General features: G+C 34.8%; 1 long non-coding RNA gene across 1 annotated transcript in view; it reads left to right on the forward strand.

Annotated features, from left to right (window-relative positions):
• Nucleotides 1-25,078, forward strand: part of LINC00907 (long intergenic non-protein coding RNA 907) — a 504,759-nt gene that overhangs the window by 378,032 nt on the left and 101,649 nt on the right. The window contains exon 7 of the long non-coding RNA NR_046174.2: nt 10,094-10,492. This is a non-coding gene — a long non-coding RNA (long intergenic non-protein coding RNA 907). The remainder of the gene's footprint in view (nt 1-10,093; nt 10,493-25,078) is intronic.

The following is a 25,078-nucleotide window of genomic DNA, read 5'->3' on the forward strand; positions in this document are numbered from 1 at the left end:
ATTTGCCTTGCTTCCCCTTCCCCTTCTGCCATGACTGTAAGTTTCCTGAGGCCTTCCCAGTCATGCAGAACTGTGAGTCAAACCTCTTTTGCTTATAAATCACCCAGTCTCAGGTATTCTTCACAGCAGTGAGAAAACAGTCTAATACAGATGGTGTCTCTTGAATAACCTCCGGCAGCTGAGAGGCAACATGTTTGCAGCCCTGAAGATAAATGTGCCATTGTTCCTTTCCTGCATCCCAGTCATAATGCAGTATTGGCTAGTCCTAAATGTGCCATTGTTCCTTTCCTGCATCCCAGTCACAGTGCATTATTGGCTAGTCCTCTAATCTGACAGTCCCTCCACCCAGCTTTTGAATCAACAACCTCAGCAAAACACAGAGTGGCTCTCTCAGGGATGAGTTTTTTTTAAGCAGTCCAGACATCTTAACTTCCTTCTTTCTGATTCACTAGAGGTGAAAGAGTACAGTACAAAGAGCAAGAAAGGTGAACAACTTTTTTATGCAAGCAGAGAGCAAAGTCACAGGACTGTTGATATTCTTAAAAAATCATGCTAGCATACGGATACTGCAAGAAGGTCTTGCGCCTTATTTACAACAAACATTGGAAGAAATTATTTCTATGTAGGATGTAAATAAGCATGCTATATATTTGGTAATTTGTACAGATAACTTTGTAAAGGGAACTGATTCTTGAGATTAGGCTAGTCCAATCTCCGTTAATGTTAAGAGAAACTGAGCTCCAAAGAAATTAATGACTTTTCTGGACTCATAGATTTGATTGTTGTACAGATGATCAATAAAAAAGAAGCTCAAGTTATTTTTTTTCTCTGTTACAAATCAACTTGCAATGAGTCAACAATAAGCCTAGAGTTAAAACAATATGAACAAAGAAGTCAAGACAGTGAAAACATTTTCTTGATGTAAATACACTTAAATTTATGGCAACTCTATAATGAAAAGATGTTTCAAGCAATTGCCTACATAATTCCAGCCACATAACAAAGGCCTCATTCTTTTGCATTTTAAAATCCTGATTTAATAGATTGTTTCCAATTTGTTTTGCTTGAGCTATATCTACACCATATTTAAAATCTGTTCTATTTTCTTAGCCATTGCCTTAGAAGAGTCTCTAATTTTCTTTTTTTCCCAACCATAGAAATTGCTTCCAGACTGGTCTGCTTGCTCAATCTGTGCTGTAGATTGTTGCCATCTTCTAAATCATTGCCTGATCATGATCTTGCCCTGTTCAAAGCCCTTGATAATTTTATTTTACTGAAATATTCGTATAAAAGAACTATTAAGATTAGTCCAAACTGCTCACAATTTCAGTTTGCTGTCACAGAATCTTTTTTATTTTCTTTTTTTTTTCTGTGACTCTTTACCCTCCATTCCTTTCCAAACTTCTCTCCCAATATTTCATGCATTCTATGCTCCAGGCACAAGAAACTAGGCATCATCCTTGAATATATCAAGAGCTATTCCTTCCGTCTGTGAGACCCTTCTTCTCTTTCTCTGAATGTCTAAATCATTTCCATCCATGATCGCCAAGGTTATATGTAACTTTTCTATTACTTTGAATCCCTTCTGCTTAAATTATTTGTCCTGCATGAGTTTGCACTGCATATTTTGTTTTTCTTTTTGTGGGTGTGGAATGAAACTTACTTACAGGAATCTGATATAAAGTTAGTGTAGGGCATTTTTGTTAAGTGAAATTGCTTTCTTAGAAAAAAAAAATAATTCTCAGACTCCAAATTTGACAAAGGAACATACGTATTCTGTAAGGAACTGGTGTGTTAATGTTAAAAGAATACTTTTACTTCTAGAACCCCAGAATTCTGATGCTGGGGTTTAAGCACTGACTTTAACACCTATCAGCTTTGTGAAAATAGTCAAGTTCTTTGTAATTTTTGCCTCTGTTTTCTCATCTAAAAAATACTAATTTCATCAGGTTTCTAGAAATATTAAATGTGTTGTAACATGTAACTCATTTATAATAGTATCTAACAATAAGTGCCCCAAAATATTATCTATTCTTATAATAATGGAGAGTAAGCCAAACACATGAACAAAGGTTTTGTTCTAATAGCGACCTATTTCTTGTTTCTTTCAAATATGTTTTAACCTTTAAAAATATTTTTATTCATGAGCTGAAATTAGTAATCTTGTCTTTTATCTCCTTAAGCATAGAATAAATATTATTCTAAAATCTGTACTTAAAAATTCCAATTAACTAGAGTCTTGTAGGTCTAATTCTAATTTATGTTGTTTTTATTGGGTCTCATAGATGTGGTCTTGTGTTCTAACAAAAATCTAACTTGATTTTTGTTCATTGTTTGTTTCAGACAATGCCATTTACAGTATCACCAGAAATAATATAATAGCTAGAAATAAATTTGAGCAAGGAGAGAAAAGGCTTATACAATGAACATTATAAAACATTGCTGAAAGAAATGTGTCAAGAAATGTTTTAAAGAAAGATTTTTATGTCAAAATGTTTTAAAAAAGGACTAAATAAATGAAAATACATGCAGTACTCGTTAATTGGAAGATTTGATATTAAGATATAATATTGTTAGGACACTATTAACCAAAACAATTTACAGATTTATTTAATGTCAACAGCATTTTTTCTTAGAAATTCAAAAGCTGATCCTCAAATTTATGTGGAACTGCAAAAGACCACAATGAGCCAACACAATATTGAAAAGGAAAAAAAAAAAAACAAAGTTCGATCACTCAGTCTTCCAAATTTCACAATTTACTACTATAGTAATAAAAACAATGTGGTACTGGCATAAAAATAGAAATATCTATCAGTAGAATAAAATGGAATGTTCAGAAATCCATACGTCTATGGTCAGTTGACTTTTGGCAAGTGTTTTAAGACCATTCATTGCACAAAGAACATTTCTTTAACAAATAATGCTGGGACAACTGGTATCCACACATAAAAGAATAAAATTGAACGCATATCTCACACAGTACACAAAATTAACTGAAAAATGGATTAACAACCCAAATATAGAAGCTAAAGCTATAAAGCTACTAAAAGAAAACATAGAAGTCAACTTTTATGACCTTAGATTTGGCATTGGATTCTTAAATATAACACCCAAAGTATCATTGTTACCATGAGCAACAATGACAACAGAAACGGGAAAATTGGACATATCAGAATTAAAAACTTCTGTGTATTAAAAAAGATTAACAAGAAAGTGAAAATATAATCTACAGGATGGGAGAAAATACCAACAAATGACATAGGGTCTAACATGTAGAAAATTACAGAACTGTTACAACTAACAAGAAAAAGACAAATAACCCAATTCAAAAATGGGCAAAGAATTTGAATAGGCATTCTGTGAAGAACATATACAAATGGCCAACAAACCCATTAAAAAATGCTTAACAACAGTAGTCATTAGTAAAATGCAAAACAAACTACAATGAGATACAATTTCACACCCAATAGGATGGCACTAAAAAAAATGGGAAATAACAATTGTTGGCAAGGTAGAGAAATTAGAACACTCACATGTTGCTGGTAGAAATATAAAATGTTTTAGCCAATGTAGAAAACAGTTTGGCAGGTCCTCAAAGAGTTAAACATAGAATTATCATATGATCTAGTAGTTTCACTTCCAGATATAAACCCCAAATAATTAAAGCTGATGCTTGAACAAAGCCTTGTACACTCACATTTGGAGTATCATTGTTCACAATAGCCAAAACATGAAAACAACTGAAATATTCATAAATAAGTGAATGAATAAACAAAGTTTTGTATACATATAAAATAGCATATTATTCAGTTATAAAAAAGAGTTAATACTCATATGTACTATTACATGAATAAATCTCCAAAATATTTTGCTAAGTGAAAGATACAAAGGGTCACATATTGTGTGATTCCATTATAGAAAACAGAGAAGGCAAATTCATAGATACAGGAATTAGAGTGGTGTTTGCCAAGGCTGGAGGCAGAGGGAAATGGAGAGTTACTGTTTAATGGGTACAGTTTTTTTTTTTTCTTTTGGGATAATGAAAATGTTTGGAAATTAAAATACAGGTCATGGCTATATAACATTGTGAATGTCCTACTAAATTGTTAAATGCTTCAAAATGGTTCAAAATGGTTAAATGCTTCAAAATGCTTCAGAATGGTTAAATTTATTTTAATCTCAATAAATAAGAAAATGTATTCATATTTATTTATGAAGTATTTTCTAGTTCTTTTCAACATAAGGCTTAGATAGATTTGCCCAGTCAGCTTTTTTCTTTTCTGTATTTTACCAATGTGCCCTTATTTACTTAATGCAAATTATTTATGTATACTACTTTCATTCAGGGTTCCCCAGACCTTGGCACTATTTATATTTTGGGCCAGATAGTTCATTGCTATGGGTGATTGTTCTGTGCAATGTAGAATATTTAGCGGGATTTCCAACCCTCGCCTTCTAGTTGCCAGGAGTATCCTCAACCCCAATTGTAGCGATCAAAAATGTTTCCAGGTATTGTCAAATATGCCCTGAGAGGCAAATGTGCCTCTGGTTGGGAATTCTGCTCTGAATTAAGATGTTCTTTGCCTTGTTTGCATCAGCTCGTAGAGCATGCAAGGAGTGTCTATGAAACCTCTACAATTGTATACACCCAGAGGGAAAGTAGAAAAAGAATTAGCAATTTCATGTGAAGAAAGTTTTAGAAAGTTAAAAACAAATTTGAAAATTGTTCTCCTTCAGGAGTCACAATACAGTGATATGATAAATATGTCCATGGATATTTCTAATGCAATATGAAAGATAGTATGATAGGAGTCTAGGATAGGAGGAAGCTCTGATTTTAAACATTTTTTTAGTAGAGGTATAATCTAGCTTTTGTTAGGTTTTTAAATTTGTTTTATCTTTAAAACCACAAATAATTGAAAAAGCAGAAGTAACTTGTGAGCTAAGGTGTCTCAATCCAGCTTCAGTTAGGAAATAAGACACCACTTTAGGCATTTCAAACAGAAAGAGGTTTACTAGATGTAGTTGAGCGCTCCGAAAATTATTACTGTCTTTGGATAGTTGATTTCCAGGCCTCATTACCTCAGCAAGGATTCCAGAAGTCAATGAGATACTGCTGCAACCACTGACACTATTTCTACCACCACAGCTGGCCCTCTTAATCACCAAGTTGTTGGTGAGGCACTGGGACACAGAGACTGGCTGTTGCAAAGATGCCCCTCACCAAATGCTACAGCAGAGGAATTAGCCTCCTCCACACATCTGCCTTTTCAGCTGATATCCAAGTGTATCAAATTAGGGGAACCTGAATCACATCCAAATCCTAGTTGAAAGTAAAGCAAGGAAATGTAGGGAATTTTTTTTTTTTTTTTTTGCGTTTTCTAAATTTTCAACTAAAAGGAAGTTCAAATTTGAGTTTCAAGAGCCAATTCAAATAGCTACTTTGTAAAGAAATTCACTTAGATGATGGGTTGCATGACTGTCAATAATTACATGAAAAAAGTACCTAAAATTATTTTGAATTCCACTTATATACCTTAACCTTATTGAAAAATGGTCATTTTTATTAGTGTGCAAATGAATAGGATCTGGTACAATTTTGTAGTTCAAACTGAGACAGTGTAAATTTCTGAAAACTAACATATCTATCTCTTTAAACACCATCACATAAACTACAGATGTATTTTTTTGTTATATCCCTGTGTCTCTTAACCCTGTCTATTATGTCTTATGTCAACATTTACTTGAATAATCCAAATAATTTTTACATCATTTTCCCTATTTGAAGTTGGTCATGCAGAGCTGAGTACTAAAGCTTCTTGGTGAAAGTGAACTTCAATCAAATGGCCTGTCTTTCTCCATAGATAATAAAGTGCTTTATTTGCCAATAATCCTTACTGAAGTATATTTTAAAGTGAGAGAAAGCTGGAGAATCTTTATTTTATTGGAATTCTAACATACTAATTTTCACACTGGGCAGGTGAGCTGCCACTAACCTCAGGCAAGTCAATTTTCCATTTGCCTGACTCTCACAGGTAACTAATGATGGACAAGGGCTGACTGCATATTTGCTATGCTGACTTGCTTTGAGGATTACCTGCTATGTAGAATTGACTTTAAGACACTTTATTATTATTCTCCTCTTACAGCAATATAAGAAGACCCCCCTCCTCTCCCATTAGATAACTCTTGTTTTAGTGAAGCCCATTGGTCTTCCTAAAACAGGTGAAATTAATCTTATTCACTAATTTAATTGTAAATTCTTGTAGCTTGATGTGTTGTCTTTGTGTTTATTTATTTATTTTTATTTATTTTAAGAGAGGGTCTCACTGTTTTGTCTAGGCTGGAGTGCAATGTCATGATCACAGCTCACTGCAGCCTCAACTTCCCGGTCTTAGTTGATCCTCCCACTTCAGCCTCCTGAGTAGATGAGACTACAGGCATGCGCCACCACACCTGGCTGATTTTTGTACTTTTTGTAGAGGCAGGGTTTTGCAATGTTGTCCAGGATGCTCCCGGGCTCAAACCATCCACCCGCCTCGGCCTCCCAAAGTGCTGGGATTACAGCCATGAGCCACTGTGACCAGCTGGCATAATGTATTTTAAACTCTATCCAGCATTATTCAGGTGTGGTTGAGGAAGATGTTTTTGGTCAGGACAACTCCTAAATCACATTTTGTAGATTGCAGTATTATCTCTGCCTGCTTTGCTACATGAACAAGAGATTTATTGACTGATATACATAAAGATCAATTGTTTGTATAGGCAACTGAGGGCTACTCATCAATATACAGATTTATACTGATTGTAGTAATATCTTGGTTATATGGAAGACATAAAATTCTTGCATTTTAAAGATACAACAGCAGAAATAGAGTATCTTTATAAGTTAACCAGATATTAAAGAATTAAAAACAAAACAATCCAGCCTATGAATCAAATGAGATAGAAGGTGATTCTTTATATAACATATTTTTTTACTAATGTATACCTCAGATAATTTTTTTCAATAGAGAGTATGTCCGCAGTAGTAAATCTGCTTAAATATCAGTGAAAGCATTTCAAAACACACTCAAGCATTAGTAAATTATAGTCTCATTTTTAAATGAAAAGACTTAATCTTATGTTACAAGATCATTTGTTTAACCCAATAAATATTCTGAGAACTGAGTGAGCAATATCTGCAAGTATCACTTTGTTCACATTGCATCTTTGGACAAAGTAAATGTTTGATTGTCAGAGCCCTTTTTATGAAGAAGGAGTTGTCAGAAGACAATGTCCAAACATTGACCAGACATTCTTACACGGCATATAAAACATTAGTAATATGTCCAAAAATGATATACTCTCAGTATGTTCTAATCTCCAGGTAACTAACAAAGGATGAGACCACCAATCAATACCCCAAACACAAAACACAAAGAAGAAAAATAATATATTGCTTATTTAAGTGAAAAAGCCTATGCTGGTCAAACATATGCTTTTAGAGCAGAGCAGGACTTTGATCTTAAACATAAATTTTATGTGTAAGATTTTTAGGAAGGGAGGAATTCAGAGTCTGCCAGACTTTCAGAGGTGAGAGTGAGTTGTTTTTAACTACAGATGTATGCCTGATCAAGTGAGACTTCATTAGTTAACATTCAGAAGCATGTTCATAAGTGTTAACCTACTTCTGATTGCCTAACTTTTGGAAGAAAAGTGCTGTCACTGATTGGTTGGCTTGCAGAAATATATTGAGTTGTCCACATTGATAAATAACGATATGGCTACATAATTATCAGATTTTTTTTCCTAGAAGCAGAAAATGTTTTTTCCCTTTAGCATAATTATCTTCAATAATGTAGAGAGTATCAAACTTATGAAAAAATGCTGATCATCACTGGTCACTAGAGAAATGCAAATCAAAACCACAATGAAATACCATCTCACACCAGTTAAAATGGCAATCATTAAAAAGTCAGGAAACAACAGATGCTGGAGAGGATGTGCAGAAATAGGAATGCTTTTACACTGTTGGTGGGAATGTAAATTAGTTCAACCATTGTGGAAGACAGTGTGGCGATTCCTCAAGGATCTAGAACTAGAAATACTATTTGACCCAGCAATCCCATTACTGGGTATATACCCCAAGAATTAGAAATCATTCTCCTATAAAGACACATGCACACGTATGTTTATTGTGGCACTGTTCACAATAGCAAAGACTTGGAACCAACCCAAATGTCCATCCATGGTAGACTGGATAAAGAAAATGCTGCACATATATACCATGGAATACTATGCAGCCATAAAAAAGGATCAGTTCATGTCCTTTGCAGAGACATGGATGAAGCTGGAAACCATCATTCTCAGCAAACTAACACAAGGACAGAAAACCAAACACTGCATGTTCTCACTCATAAGTGGGAGTTGAACAATGAGAACACATGGACACAGGGAGGGGAACATCGCATATCAGGGCATGTTGGGGTGTGAGGGGCTGGGGGAGGGATAGCATTAGGAGAAATACCTAATGCAGATGATGGGTTGATGGGTACAGGGAACCACCATGGCATGTGTATACCTATGTAACAAACCTGCACGTTCTGCACATGTATCCCAGAATTTAAAGTATAATTTAAAAAAATATAAAAAAGACATTTTCAGGATGCTTTATGTTGCAAGTAATGGAGACTAAACTCAAACTAGCTAAAGCCATAAAAAACGTTTTTGGCTTACATAAGAGAAAGTACAGCAAAAAGTCAGACTTCAAGAATTGACTTAATTCATCTGTGAATCTCTTTACCTAAATTTTCTAATTCTCTCCTCTACACAGTGTTGGCACCATCCTCAGGCTTTAGAGGAGAGATTAATTCCCAGAATAAGATGGCATCCAAGGAAAACAATGTTAGATTTATTAATCAGGATGATTATTTTTCAACAAATATTGATCTTTTATTATTGATCTCAGTTGGATTACCTATAAAAATTTGAATCAATTACTGTGAAGGGAGAGGAATTATCTCTAGACCAATCAGACTCAACCCCAGATTTGTGGATGGGTTCACCCTGAGGTGTATGGATAGGATTGATACTTGAATAAAATCATGGATCTACAAGGATAGAGGAAGAGAGAATAGATGCTGGAGGGAAACCAATGGTCCACTATATGTCATAAAATGAGAAATATAGTACCTAATATCTGTATTATAAAATTTACTCTATATTTTCACTTCTTATTTATTGTTCATGACCATTATTGATGTTATTTGGAACAGTTACTTATTTCTTTTAAATTTTTCAACTCCTTTAAGCCCACCCTGCATTTATCCTCATTAAAAAAAAAACCCAATAGAAGCCCATATTCCGTTCCTGAAGACAAAACCACCTTGCTCCTGTATGCTTTTCTCTATCTTTAATGTACTTCATTTATTTATCTTGGAAGTTCTATTGATTTTTTTAAGACTTTTCTTAGCCCTTCTAAATAGAATTTGTCCCTTTATCATATTGGTCTTCTCAGTGCATTGTACATATTTCTGTAATAGCATTTACAAGTTTGTTTTATACTTATATATTTACATACCTATTTCACAGCTACGATGTGAAACGAGGTGAATGGGCAAGGAAGAAAGGGATCAAGAACCTTATTTTAAATATCTTTGCATTTCTAGTAGCTTACTGTTCCTGGAAGACAGACATTGAATAATCACTAAATGAATAATCAAGGCAGGAGACACGTAGTTGTGTAACTTTGCTAAAATCTATATATTTTTTCTTTCTTCACTTTTCAAAAGGCAAAAATGAAGTTAATATGGAGAGTGTATAATGAGCATTATTTTCCATGTTTATAAATTTAAAATGAGATGTGTGAGAAAACCTTTTGGAAAAGGAAACTCGTGGAGGTAAAATGTAATACTATCATTATTATTATCATTCATTCACTCAATACATATTTATTGTTTATTATGCCTCAGGTGCAGCACATGGAACATATTGCAACCTGAAGGAAATGGTTGCTTACTATTTCTTTTAACATCTCTGCCCCTATTGTTAACTGGGACAAAACAACCATTTGGAGTGTTTTTGTTTTTGTTTTTGCTTTCATTCACAGATGGACCTTCTCCTAAAAGTCTTATCTTCTAAGTCTCCTAAGTCTTGGACTTTTCAAGGCCAAAGATTTAAAGGCCAAGTGGACCATACGGGAGATCTAGTTTCCCATCCAGACAGCCAAGCTCATGCATCCCTGGATTTGGATGGATGGTTTCCCATGGGGCCTTGGACAGATTGGACCCAGCACTGGCACAGGGTTGACTTGGAGGAATAAGCTCCTGGAAACCTCAATTAGCGTTTGGGGTATGAACATTAAACAATACTGAATCTGGAAACAATACATCACACAGCGGGTCCAAGGAAATAAGCAGAAGGCTGGCAGCAGGCCAGGGCCAGGGGCCAAATCGCTCCTCAAAGACAATTCTTCATGGAGAAATGACAGCAGGTTTGAGGACAGCAGGTATGACCTAACAAGATAATGATATTAATTACATTTTGAAAATGGAAATAGGACAAAATGAAAGTGGTTTTTATTTGCCTATGTAATAACAGATTTTACTTCTTTTGCCCAGCTATCTTGAGTCTGAAAGAAATGGATTTAGTTTTAAAAAATAAGGCAATATTAAGTTATACTAAACATTATTGCACCCCTGACACTGTTATGTTTGTTTGTTTTAAATGTGTATTGACTTAATACACATAAATAGCCTTTGGAATGGGTATAGTTATTATCACCATTTTACAAGGAAGAAAAAGGGAGACAACAGAGGTTAGGCAACTTACGCAACTTGCTCTGGGTCACACAGCTAGCAATGATGGAACTAGAAATCAAACAAAAGTAATGTGGTCCCAGAGACCACTCTTTTAAGCATGATGTTGTACTGCCTCTATATTCTGTCATAATTTAAGAGAGGATGAAATTCACCTGGATGGACAAGTAACCCAATGAAACATAAAATTGAATTCAGAAACAGGCTCTTGCACATACACACTCTTGCTATATGACAGAGGTGGAATACAGATCAATCAGGGAAAAGAACGGGCTCTTTAATAAAAAGTGATGAGGCAATTGGTTTTTCATTAGGGAAAATACAAATTTAGGTGCTTACCTCATGCCATGTGCAATAATTAAACCTAAGATTGAAGAGTTACATGTGAAATGCAAAACTTGAAAACTATCAGAAAAATGCATTTATTGCATTTGAGAACAGAATAATTTTTTTAAAGTATAAACTACGTAGGAATTTTAAAATGAATTCAGTTGTTATAATTTAAATTTTTAATTCAACAAGATACATATTTTAAAGTGAAAATACAAGCTATACAATTAAAGTAAATATTTGCCACATATAAAATCAACAAAAAATTTGAATCTAGAGTATATAAAGAACTCCTATGAGTCAAATAAGTAACTACATACACAACTTAAAACTAAAGCAAACATATATTTCACAGAAAAGGAAACATTAATGGCCAAAAAACATGAAGTAATTCTCAAGCTCATTATTAATCAGGCAAATTCAAACTAAGCCATAAAAGCTTTCATTTCACATTCAGCATTTTGGCAAAAGTTAAAATTTATGACAATGTCAAGGGTTGGCAAGGATGTGAGACAGAGGGGAATGTTATAGACTGCCCTTGGGATAGAAGTGTATGTTTGTATAATCTCTCTATGAAGTAATTAGTCACTACTTGGTAAGCTTGAAGATATCCAAACTCTAAATTTGAAAGGACAGTTTTCTAACCTCTCCTGTATCTCAGTGTCTTCATTTGTACATTTTACCTAACTCACAAGTCTAGTGTAATGATTCAATGAGTTATACATATAAAATGCTTTGCTTGGAGCTTGGCGTGAAATTAGCGGTGTTATTTTTTTTTCTGAGATCTTACTTTACACATGTAGGTACATCTTAATTGAGATTTAGCAGTCACAGCTTTTAAAATATTCTTTATATACGGTTTCTTTGTATCACTTGATCAGGATTTCCTCATGCCTATTATATCAGATTGGGACCTTCAGGATCTAGCATATCATCTTTATAGGAGTAGCTATTCAATGGATTTTATTATTGGCTGAATTTTTAAGTATTAACTACTTAAATTTTCCTTTTGGTATTCCCGTACCTGGTTACTGTGAATGGTCTTTGTGCTAGAGGATCGCTAGGTGGTTACTTTAGGTTGGATAGTTGAAAAATAGGAAAAGAGCATTCTAGATGGGGAAAGAGCTAATGTAAAGGACCTAAGGGCTCAAGTTGAACTTGTCAAAAAACAAAACAAAATAAAACAAAACAAAGCCAGTGGCTAGAGGGAAGTATATAATCAATTTGGAAAACAAGAACGGGATCATGTCACACTATATAAGTTTATGTTTTGTTTTGTACAGGTACAAATCCACAAACAATTTACAGCAGAGGTCTATCAAAATATGATTAGCATTTCACAAATACTTTCATGACTGCTTTGTGAAGAATAAATTGCAGATGGGCAATAGTGAAAGCAGAGTGACCAGGCAGAAAAATACAGTGATAACCTGGGCAAGAAATCAAGGTGGCTTGGACTAGTAGTCATGGAGCTGAAAGGATTGAATAGGTTTGAGATATGTATTACTGGTAGTCAACAGATGTGCTTAAGGATTGAGATATTGGGGATAATAAAAAAAGAAGACTCAAGGATAATGCTTAGATTTTTGGTCTAAACACTGGTACCATCTAATAAGATTTGAAAGCCCATGGTTCCGCTGGGTAAGAACAGAGGATGGATAAGGAGATCGAGATTTTATTTTGGCATGTTAAGTTTGAGATACAAAGTAGATATTTAATTAGATATGTCAGGAGGGCAGGTGGATATATGAGTTTGGTATCCAGGGACAGGTAAGGGCTAAAGATAAAATTGAGGAGCCAGCTGATTTAAACTTATATTTTAAATATAACTTGAACTATATTTTAAATCTGTGAGTTTAAGTTTCAGTTTTCTTACTAGGTAACTTCCAAAGACATTTTTGAGAGTCAAATGAAGTAACAAATAAAGGTGTTTTGCAAATTACACTGTGTACAAAGAACAATGGATTAGGAATTAGGAGTTTTAGTCCTGGCACTTTCATTGGCTAATGTTAGCACTTGAGCCAAGATATGTAACTCATTTGGGCTGAGTTTCCTTAGCTATAACATGATGAAATTAGAATCAATAAACTTTTTGGTCTCTTTCTTGTCTCATGTTTGAAAAGAAAAACTTCCCTCTATTGTTGTTAGTTTTCCTCCTTCACTGAGAAGAGCAGGGCCTACAATTATTTAGCTGCAAATTAATTAAACATATAAACTTTATAATCACTTTATCGGAAAAACATTAAGCTCCTAAATGGAACATTACAAGAGCATCTTAACTTTGAGCCAGAGAAAGGACCCAAGAAGCAGACTGAATTCAGTGTCTGTCTATACAATTTTGTACTGAAAGTAATCTTGCTTTTCTTATCTTGATTTGCAGTGGCCAGTTAATTTAGGCAAAGTCGATCTGGGAGTGAGGATAAATAATAGCAAGAAAAAGAAAAAGAGTATTGAATAGATTTTTTTTTATGATGAACAAACAAAAGTCTTTATTTGTATAATTAAGCAAAGCTTTTATGGGTGGAACAAACATTTTAGAAAGCATAGCTAATTTTGGCTGCGTTCATATTTTTCTGTGACCTTGACATTTATATAATCTGGATGCAAATTTGTGATTAGCTTAGAGGACAGGTGAGGATGAACTGGCTAATGGGCAACAGTTTAGAGACCACACAAAAATATCACCAGTCTCTAAGTTCTACATGCCATGAACAGAATCACAAATTTCCAAAGACTAGTTAACTTAGAGCTCAACTTCTTTCCTTTAGGACCAATTACAGATGGCCTTGAATATTTTCAGTGCTGTCAACTGATAGCTTATGAAAAAACCTATACTATTTTTGTACAATTCTAAATGATAAGTAGTCCCTTTACATTTTGAAACCAAAATGAACTGCCTCATAATTTTCTCTCTTGCATTCTATTTCTGTTCTTAGAGAAAAAAATAGACAAATAAAGAAGTAAACATGTAAACTTATTTGAATATATTGGGTCTTCTGAGAGCTATCTATTCATCTTCATGTTCTTCAAGTATTTGTTGTTCAGCTTTCTGGACTGCCTCATTAATACAGTTGGTCTTTTTATGCATGAGCTCATTTTAGAATTTTACATTTTAAATGTGTTAGCCAGAAAGAACCATGTTTACTTAGATATTATCTGGCAATTGCAGAACTTCATGGAATGCACCACCTTCAGCATTGACTCATAGTGAGCTTGCACAATTAGAAAGTCCCATATCTTTCTCTTAAGACTGTTGAGCCAGACATTACCAACTGTACACTTTTATAAAGTTTGAACTTTTTTTCAGAATTAAATTTAGTAAGTTTCATATATGGCATTTCTCTCAACCTGACTTGTCTCTTAAAAGTTCTATGTTCACTTGACTCATGATCACTAGAATGCAAATCTACTCTTCCTATTCTGTGTGTTGATGAGACTACTAATGGCCAGCACAGTATTTAAGTCAAGATATTTTCATTTCAGGGGTTGTCATCAAATACCATTGTGACATATAGTGTCTTTTAATTCTAATCAAATACAAATCAAGCTTTTAGGCTGATTATTTTAATGCATGCATGGGTCGAGTTTTAGAAAACTCTGATCCCTGACAAGTGTATTTAATTCTTATTTTTATAATGTAATAATTCCTGTAGTATTGATATCTACTCTTTTTAAAATGATAAAATTTACACTTTCTATGTTACATTTATCCTGGTTTATTTTTGCCTAGGTTCCAGCCATTATATATATATCATTTGAATATACAATCTGACATCTGTTGTGTTAGCTTGGTCAGTTCTTAAAGTCATACTAAAATGTCTTCTGTCAATCCTTAATGAACTATATAATGAAGAGAAAGGCAAGGAGAGAATTCCATTGACTGCTGAGAGACTTGTCCTTTGCTACTTGGAATCTTTGCTTATGTATTCAATCCTATTTCTGGATCTTATGGCATAAGATCCTCAACTCTATGCTTCATTTTCTGGTGTCATGATATTATTGTGCAGATACTCTGCCTGGATATGGGTAAATTTACCTGCATATCCCTGAGGTACCATAGGGTTGCGTCTCCTATGCAGACTCATTTCATAATTCTAACCACTGAGGAACATCTATCTTTAGATATTCTTAGGTAACTCCCACCCTGCTCTTTTGTTTTCTGTTCCCAGCCAGTTACCTTACATTTAAAGCCTACCTCTCCTTCTGTGACTAGTGTGCTACTCTGTCCCCTCACATAGTTCATGCTTGATACTGTACCTTCTCTGATGATACCTGAAGAATATAGATACTATTAAGTTGTTATTGTTATCAGTACTTTATTTCTAAAAGACTCACTTTTATTATTAATATAATATTCATAATAACATGATTACCATCATCAGCTTGGTAGTAGTAATAGCATCAAAAGGCTTAATTAGAGCTATTAAGTTTGCTGTTTTAATGACCTGGAGTAGAAATCACAAATACTAAGCCATCATTATCCCATCTTCCTCAATGTCAAATGAGGCCTTTCTCAAACCAACCATGCCATGTCCTCCATTGATTAGCGTCACCTCTAAAGATGGTAATTTATTTGGAATTGATCGGTCATTAATTTAACATTTTTAAATGCCAAGATTTAAATCTGAATACTAAGACAGGAGGCCAAAAGCTGCATTCATGTATACTGGCTTCTTAAATAAGGTTTAGAGATCCCAGAAATTCTCATATTCAGATTAGTTGACCAAAACAGGCTTAATTGGCCAATTTGACTTTTTCTACTAGAGAAAAGAGAATTTACATGTAAAAACTGCTTTCATTGCTTCAGGTGCTTTGTCTGTGCTTAATTCTCATTACAATTCTATTGTTATCTTCATTTGGTAGATGAGGTGACCAAAGCTAAGAAATATTAAATAGCTACACTAAGGAAATATAGAGCAAAATCAAGGTATGCATAAATACATCTGATCTCAATGCCTGTTTTCTTTTTATATCCTGCTTTACAAGAATAAAATTTTCCTAACACTTTACTAGGTGTCTTATCTTGAAAAACTTGTTTAATTCTCCTAGCTGTAGAATTTTTTCATCTATAATATGGGTATAAGAATAGTAACCAACCCTTAGAATTGCCTTGAAGATTTAATATAAAGTTCTTAGTACAATTTCTGGCATGTAGGTGATTAAATATACGTTATATGATAATGATAAAGATAAGATAATTCTTGCTGTAGATCAAACTATTCAGAAAAATTCAAGAGGAAGTTATATGGTGTTTTAGAAAGGCCACTTTATTGGGAATGTACTCAAGAAAAGAAAGTACTACAATGTGCTTCTAAGATTTCAAGCCTGGCTGATGGAGAGAATTAGATTCTCAGTATCAAAGACAGAAATAATAAAAGCAATGATCTATTTGGGAGTAAAAAAAGATGTGCTTTGTTATTGGTACACAGAGTTCTATGGAGTCTCTATCAGACTGTCAAGATTGGGATAGCTAACTTGGAATTGCATAAGTGGGAATCGTGATAAGGAGAATTGTGTGAGCTAAAAAGCTATGTCTGTGAGGTCTCTGCATGCAGCTCTGTTGAAGCTAATGGAGTCAATAAAATAGATCAGAATGAGAATTTAAAGTGTACAAAGAAAAGAAATGGGAACAGAAACTTCATAACATCTACACTAAGAACAGAAATAAAGAACACATTTACTAGCAATAAACGACTGAGGCCCAGGAGTTAATCTATTGTCTGAAATTTGTTGACTGTAAAACAATTAGAGGTTTTCCTGGGGGATAGGTGGGGTCGGTGGATAATTATAACTGACTTCTTGCTTGTTGTTTAACTCAGTAATCAAAATACCCCTGCCCACTTGAAAGAATTTGTGAAGACACTTTTGCCTCCTCAACTTTTTGTCCATAGCACAGAAATTTGAAGCTGTAAATTTAAGATAACTTGACTATTTTGTTCTCTTTTCTGCTTTTCTGTAGCATCAGGGTAATTTCTGTATATTCCCTTTAACTTTCTTCTATTCAGACACTGCAGATATTAGGACAGAAGGTATAGGGCTGGAAGACTGAGGCAGGTAGTAGATATTTTAATCTAGGGATATTCTTCTTAACTGATATTAGATTGTAACTCTACTTGACTGTAAATTTTGAGGATAAATTTTGATTTTTATATATTAGCAATCAAATATTGTTAAGCAAATAAATAAATAATCAACAAATGAACAGATAGATATGGGATTTTCCCAGATAAGTAGCCATGCTTAGAATTCTAGTTTTCACATATTTTAACCATTTAGAGAATGAGATAGGCAAGCAATGGGAAGTGAAAAGAATATTACCCCAGACTAGCAAAGCTGAACTAGATAAATGAGTGCTTGGCAGTGGGATTTATAGAGAAAGCTTTGCAAATCTAGCTGTTCTCTAGATGTGGTTCTGGAAAGTGGATTCCTCTATTACCTAAATAGTTGGTGAAGAAAGACCAGAAAAATCCATATGCAAATTCTCTTTCTTCCCTCATTCCACTGTTGAGTGTCCTGTCATATAATCTTACTTAGATGCAAGGGAAGTTTGAAATGCAATGTTCTTGTGCACTCATAAGGTTAAATAAGATTGGTGAACATTTAGCTACTATTATATTTTTCAATCTCTGAAACTCAGTAATCACGTGACCTGCTTTAGCAAATATTTTGCATTTAACCAGAATCTCCCCTGAAAAATCTGCTGTATCTCTTTCCTACCAACTGATGCTAACTTCTAAGCAATATCATATGCTTTAGAATTTTGTTTCATTGGTACCTCAGTTTTGATACTAATTTTTGGATTAATTCAAACTATTCTGCAGCATCAAAACACTCCCCACCCCCAAATCTCATGACTTAACTCAGTGAAAAACTGTCATTACCTAATGTCTCAGTGTGCTATAGAGAAGGAGAAGAATTTGCCTGCTGACACTCTTCCAAGCAGGGACTCAAGGACTTTGGCTCCCTTTCTAGAGTGGTGCCATTATCTCATGCATGTAGATGAGGAAAAGTGAGCAGATGGAAAACCATGAAAGATAGGTATGATCAGTTTCTTTTTGGCTACTGTATGGACAAATAGGCTCTAAAAGGTAAAGGTTAGGAAGGAATAGACTGGTTGGGAGACTACTACAATAATCTAGATGAGAGCTGCTGATGATCAAAGAGGGGAGTTAGAGGGGAGGTAGTGAAGAGACAGGATAGTAGATAAAAATTTAGAGTACAACCCATAAGACCAAGTTATATAGCTAATAAGTAGCAGAACCCAGAGTCAGATCTTGTACTAATGTCTGAGTTTATTGCACTATTGCCTATGGCTTTAACTTTCTTCGGCTTATGTGTGGAATAAGCAAATACTTAACAGTCTTCTTTTTGTGGCTCGAGATACACAATTCTCCCCTATTATGATGGATTCTGGCTAGCAGGTTCACAATCTAGTCATTTTTGGGCATGGGGAGAGGCTCTTACCCATTGAGACTGCTCATACTTCTTGTTAATGAATAAGCTACACTATTCAATTGCTCAATCAAGGGCTTTCCCCCACCCACAATCCTCATGGATTTGGTTGTTCCATCCATTTTCTTGTTTACCAAGAGGCAAGTCAGGTGGTCTGGGATTGCTGCTTTGCCTCTAGCTGGCTTCAAGTTGAAATGACTGAATTCAACACCATTGTTGAGACAATGTACAACCCTTGTTCTTTAATTACTCCTACTTACTTTCACCACATATTGTGATTCATTTGCTTAAAACCACTGCAATAGTTGCTGCCATAACAAATGCTTTCCTGAGAGTCAGATTAATGTTCCCCTTTGTTTCCAGCTTATCTGCAGCCTGTCTGCAGTAATATACTCAACCCAAACAAGCGTATTTTTCACTCACAGCCTGCCTTTTATGAGTCCCACTGACAGTTCCTTAATAAATAATACATTTCTAAATGTTCCTAAGCTTTTCTCCTTATTAATAATTCCAGCAGCTTTCCCATGGCTGAGGGGTTTAATTTGGTCACTGACTCGATTTTATTCTTGCCTGTTTCTCTACATTTTACTTTTTAAGACTAATGTCTGGACAAGAAGGAGGTTAAAACAGTGGTCTATCATAGCAGGTGTTCAACAATTATGAGTTAGTACACACTACACATTCGGATGTGTAATGGAGACTTTCTTGGGTGTTTTTTGTTTGTTTCTTTTTGTAGCTCTGGCCCTTTTGCCATGAGAACAAAACAAAATCCTTGAATCCCATGGAAAGATAGCTTCAGGTTGATTCTCTGGAGACAAATGTGTCACTAAGTTTGCAAAATGCATTCAAATTAGCATGTTTAGGTATGAGATGTTTATTTTTGGTGTTTTCAACAAACTCTCTTTTTTGTGTTTATCTATAATAATGTGGAATTGTAACTAATGCCTAAATGAAGTCTTTGATCTTTGTTACAAAAAAAGTGTTGGCTCAATGTATAAAAAAACAAAAATACTCAATTTGAGGAAAAGAAGAACAAATTCATGTAATTACTCATTCTTCACACTGTGTTTCTCTGTTCTGATTACACTAACTGGGAATGTCCGTTCCATTCTTCTTCCATAAAGCATTTTCTTCATAGCTAACATCCATGTCTATCTATTCTGAAATCACCAGTTTATGGCTACCCGGTGGATGAAGTTTTAAGTACTCCCCCGTAGAATTCTCTACTGTTTCATCATTATTATTTCTTCCAAGTATATTGTGAATTGAAGGTGGAGGGGCAAGACTTTGGCTTAGTTGCATAGCATTTTACGTGAGATTTATCAGAGAAAGGACACTCAATATATGTGTTATAATTAATTGATTTATTTACTTCTATTTACATGTTATCTTTTTTGTGTGTTTTGTATGCTGTCAAGAATTTTCTTCTCTTGCAGAAACTACCCAGCCAGCAATTATGTTTTCAGGTTTTTGTATCTATGCTGACAACCAGATTATTCTACATATAGTAGGAGTTAAGAAATGATGATGTACTATAAAGAGAGAGACAGAAAATTTCACCATGATAAGTTGTTGAGTAAATTCCTTTTTCTGGAAAAACTAAACAGTTTTAACTACTAACTATAACATACAATTTGTTTGATGTGATTCCTCGTGCTGTTGTAAAACCAGTTTAGCTCCTACAGTACTTATACTCAGGTTTTGAAAAGAAAAGGGTTGTTACAGAAAAAGGTAAACAAGTTTGGATTCTAAGAAATTTTGATTTGGAAAACAATTCTGATAATTCTGTTATGGCATGTAGAACCTCACAAAAGCATTCAGTCTTTGGAGGGAAGACACTATCAATTTCCCACCAGGATTCTCTAGCCCTAACTTTTCAATGCACACCAATCAACTTCCAACTGCTAGCACCTGTGCTTTTTACTTTAACACTTTCTCTTGTCACAGAAATCTCCAGTTCTGCACTGGTTGGGTGAAACGATTCTGAGTCGTGTGCCCTACCCTGACTCCTACAATTTCCCTGCTGGCTTAATCTCTAGTCTTCTATAGTGGTAGTTGGCTTTCTCATTTGCCTTTTATTGTTTACCTTTCCTTTGCTATGCTTCCCTTCCCTGTCCCAATTCCCCACCTCCATACCAGCATTCCCTTCACCCTCAAAATACAATACTCACACTTCAATTCTTGAATTTGTGCCTACTTCTGGGGAACTCAAACTAAGACACCGATATATATATCTTATTTCAATGGAAATTTATTTTTTATTTCAATTATTTGAATTTATTTATGCTTTACTGTTTTTTTTTAATGGAAACCCACTCTGGACACTCTGACTCTGAATTCTTCATGTGAGGGCCCTAGGATTGCATGAATATGTACATTTCACTTGAGAAATAGGAATAAGCACCCTCCTGAGGAGAGCCTGCTGAACAAGCTTAACCTAAATCCTCATTAAAACACTTAGGTCTGTATTAGTCTGTTCTCATGCTGCTAATGAAGACATACCTGAGAGTGGGTAATTTATAAAAGAAAGAGGTTTAATTGACTCACATTTCAGCATGGCAGGAGAGGCTTCAGGAAACTTACTATCATGATGGAAGGGGAAACAAACATGTCCTTCTTCACATGGCAGCAGCAAGGAAAAGTGTAAAATGAAGATAGGGAAAAGCCCCTTGTAATACCATCAGATCTTGTGAGAACTAACTCACTATCACAACCACAGGATGGGGGAAACTGCCCCATAATTCAATTATCTCCACCTGGTTCCTCCCATGGTACATGGGGATTATGGGAACTACAGTTCAAGATGAGATTTAAGTGGGGACACAGCCAAACCATATTAGTGTTTTATTCGCAGGGATGTTGAGAAAGGCAAATAAAATCTTTGGTAACTAGCTCATATTTGGAAGAAACACTCACCTTGAAACACCAGGGAAAATTTTAGTTTTTATGTTTAAAGGGAGCAAAAGCAAACCAAAGTTCTAATACCACAAGCATAGCAAAACTGAGATAAAAATGCAAACCTATTGATGTACTCAAAGTCCCATATCTCGGGTAATCCTCTAAATTTCCTTCATTTCCATCTGATGGCTGATCCAAAGACACTGTTTCTCAGGAATAGCTGATTGGTTGTCTGCAAATAGTCAGTCCCTGAAACTACAGTTTGGATGTGAGGCATTGGCTCAGTGAAGTGGGGAGATGGCATGAGGTAGCCTGGAACTGATTTTCTCTTCTGACTGCATATATCAGAGCCTGATTTACCACTCGTTTATAATTAGAGTATTGAACAGTGTGCCGTTTCACTAAGAATACAAGCTAACATATTATATGCTACCCAAAATGTCAATTGCAAATTATTATAGCTTGTATTTGGGGGTCAAGTGGTTTTAAGTATGACTTTGTGTGTTGGCCATACACCATTTCAATTTCTGTAGCTTTGCTAATGATGTGCCTTCTACCCCACACCCTCCTCCTGCTTTGGTGTCTACTGAACTTTATTTGCATTGCAATGCCCGAAGTCACATGGAGTCAGATTTCGTTGCCCCACAAAGCCTGTATTACATTCCAAGTTCTTCTGCAGTTAATGTCAAAACCACTCACTGGTTTCTCTTTTGAGTTAATTACTATTTCATGGCTGCATGCATGTCCTTTCTAACATGATAGTAAGATAGTAAACAACTTGAGGGTTTTTCTTGTTTTTATTTTATTTTATTTTCATGATGCCTACCACTGTTTGGGCACTTAGCTTCTCTCTCTCTCTTTCTCTCTCTCACACACACACACTTTTTTTAAAAAAAATAAATGAACCATTCATTATTTTAAAGAAATAGGTGGATGCTTGCTAACATTCACCCTTGCTTTTTCTTTCTCTGAACATTCTCTTTAACAAGGAACAAGGATTTTTAAAGTGTTCTCAATCTCCTGAAACCCTTTCTTTAACTTCTACCCTGTTCCTGTCAGTGAGAATCTTGTCTTTAATTATTTCAGAAATGTTGCTACTAAGAGTGGTCTTCCTGCCCAATACTTACAGACATACTTTCATATGCATCCAAAGATCAGAAGTACAGCTCTTCTCTAAAATCAGAGAATGAGGTGCTCAACAGCAACCTTTCCACCTGTGCATTTGGTTTCATGACTGAGTCTCTCATGTCTTCAACTTCTCTAACTATATTGACTTCCCGTTCAATCCAGACACACTCTCTAATCTCTCACTCTATTCCAACTACATTCATTTTCTGTCTCTCATTCTCTTCACCAATTACTGGAATCTATTATTAACCCCACTTCTGGACTCATTCTATGAGGTTCTCATCAAAGATACTAAGTGCCAAATGCAGGAAGCATTTTTAGTTCATATATTACTGGACCTCCTCTGCTATATTTCATCTTGTTCATCACTTTCAATTTCATAAAAATTCCTTTTTTTACTATTCTCCTGCATAGCTCTGTTGCCTACTTCTGAAAGCTTCATTCTCTGTGATGATCCTTTCTCCTCAGTGTCACATCCCTCGCAGATCTGCCCTCAGCTCGTTCCTCTTCTCTATGTGTGTCCTCTTCATAGATTATTTCATGTCTCTTTGTATCAATTAATAGCAATATGCTGAATCTCAATTACCACCTCTACTAGAGAGCTCTACTTTAAGCTTTAGGTTCACATATTTGATTGCATATTAGGTACATTCACCAAATATTCTAAATCCAACAAGTCCAAATGTACTCACTATTTTTCACCTTAATGAATTTGCCTTTTTATCAATCAACAATTGATATAGAGTTTTTCTCCCAAATATCTTTCTAGTCCACTTTGTCTTCTCTAATTGTGTAATAATTCAAGCTTGCCATCTCTCAGTTGGACTGCTGCAGCCACTTATCAATTTGTCTACATGTCTATAGGACTGGTTCTTCAAATCCAATGTCCTCTTTCACTGAAGCAATTTTTCTAAAGCGTAAATTGGTCCATTTTCTTCTGCTGAAAAATCAAACATTTGATCTCTTCCATAATAAAGTACAGCTTACTTAATGCAGCTTGTAATGATCTCCACAGTCTGTTGCCAGCCCATCTATATAGTCTTATTTCTCTTAACTCTTGTCCTAAACTATTATAGGAACATGGAACTCACTGTAGTTTCCCATATATCTGTCTAGTCATCTGTTATCTATCTATCTATAAATCTATCTATAAATCTATCATCTATCTATCTATCTATATCTATATCTATCTTTCTATATATCTATTTTGCCCTCACTCTGAGCTTTTACTTATTTCTGTACTCTGACGTAAAATCTTCACCTCCTCCACCTCAATTAAGCACAATTATTCTGTATTTTAAAAATAGAAATATTTTTAGAGCAGTTTCAGTTTCACAGTAAAATTTTTAAAAAGGTAGAGATTTCCCATATACTCCCTGCCCCCATATATACATAGCCTCCCCATTGTCAGTATCCTGTACCAGAGTGACACATTTGTTCCCGATGAAACTACATGGCATATCATTAGCAACAAAAAAGCATAGTTTACATTAGAGTTCACTCTTGGTATTGTACATTTTATGGGGTTGGACATACGTATAATGACGTGTATTAACTGTTATAGTATTATACAGAGTGTTTCACTGCCCTAAAAATCCTCTGTGCTCTGCTAATTCGGCCCTCTCTCTCTCCTTCCCTTCCAATCCTGGCAACCACTGATATTTTTCCTGGCAACCACTGATATTTTTACTGTTTCCATAGTTTTAACTTTTTTAGAATGTCATATATTTGGAATCATACAGTGTGCATCCCTATTAGATTGGCTTCTTTTACATAGTAATATGCATTTAAGTTTACTCCATGTCTTTTCATGGCTTGATAGCTCATCTCTTTTCAACACTGAATTATGTTATCACAGTTTGTATATCCATTCACTTCCTGGAGGACATCTTGGTTGCATCCAAGCACTGGATATTATGAATAAAGCTACTATAATCATCTAGGTACAGGTTTGTTTGTGTGGGTATATATTTTCAACTCCTTTGGATGAATATCAAAACCATGATTGCTGGATCGTATAGTAAGGCCATGTTTAGTTTTATAAGAAACGGCCAAACTGCCTACCAAAGTGTACCATTTTTTATTTCTACCAACAATGAATCCTGTTGCATCACATTCTTTCCAGCATGTCAGTGTTCTGGATTTTGGTCATTCTGATAGGTGTACAGTGCTGCCTTATCAGAGTTTTAATTTGTATTTCCCTGGTGACAAGCTATGAAGCACCTTTTCATTTCACCTTTTCACTTATTTGCCTTCTGTATGTTTTTTATGGTGAGATATTTGTTAAGCTCTTTGGTCTTTTTTGTCTTCTTACTATTGAGTTTTCAGTGTTTTTTCTTTATTTTGGGTAAAAGTGCTTTATTAGATATGTCTTTTGCAAATATTTCTCTCTCAATCTGTGGCCCATTTTTTCATTCTCTTGATGGTGTATTTAACAAAACAGAAATTTTTTATTTTAATGAATTCTA

Source organism: Homo sapiens, chromosome 18 (genome assembly GCF_000001405.40).
Source record: "Homo sapiens chromosome 18, GRCh38.p14 Primary Assembly".
NCBI lineage: Eukaryota > Metazoa > Chordata > Mammalia > Primates > Hominidae > Homo > Homo sapiens.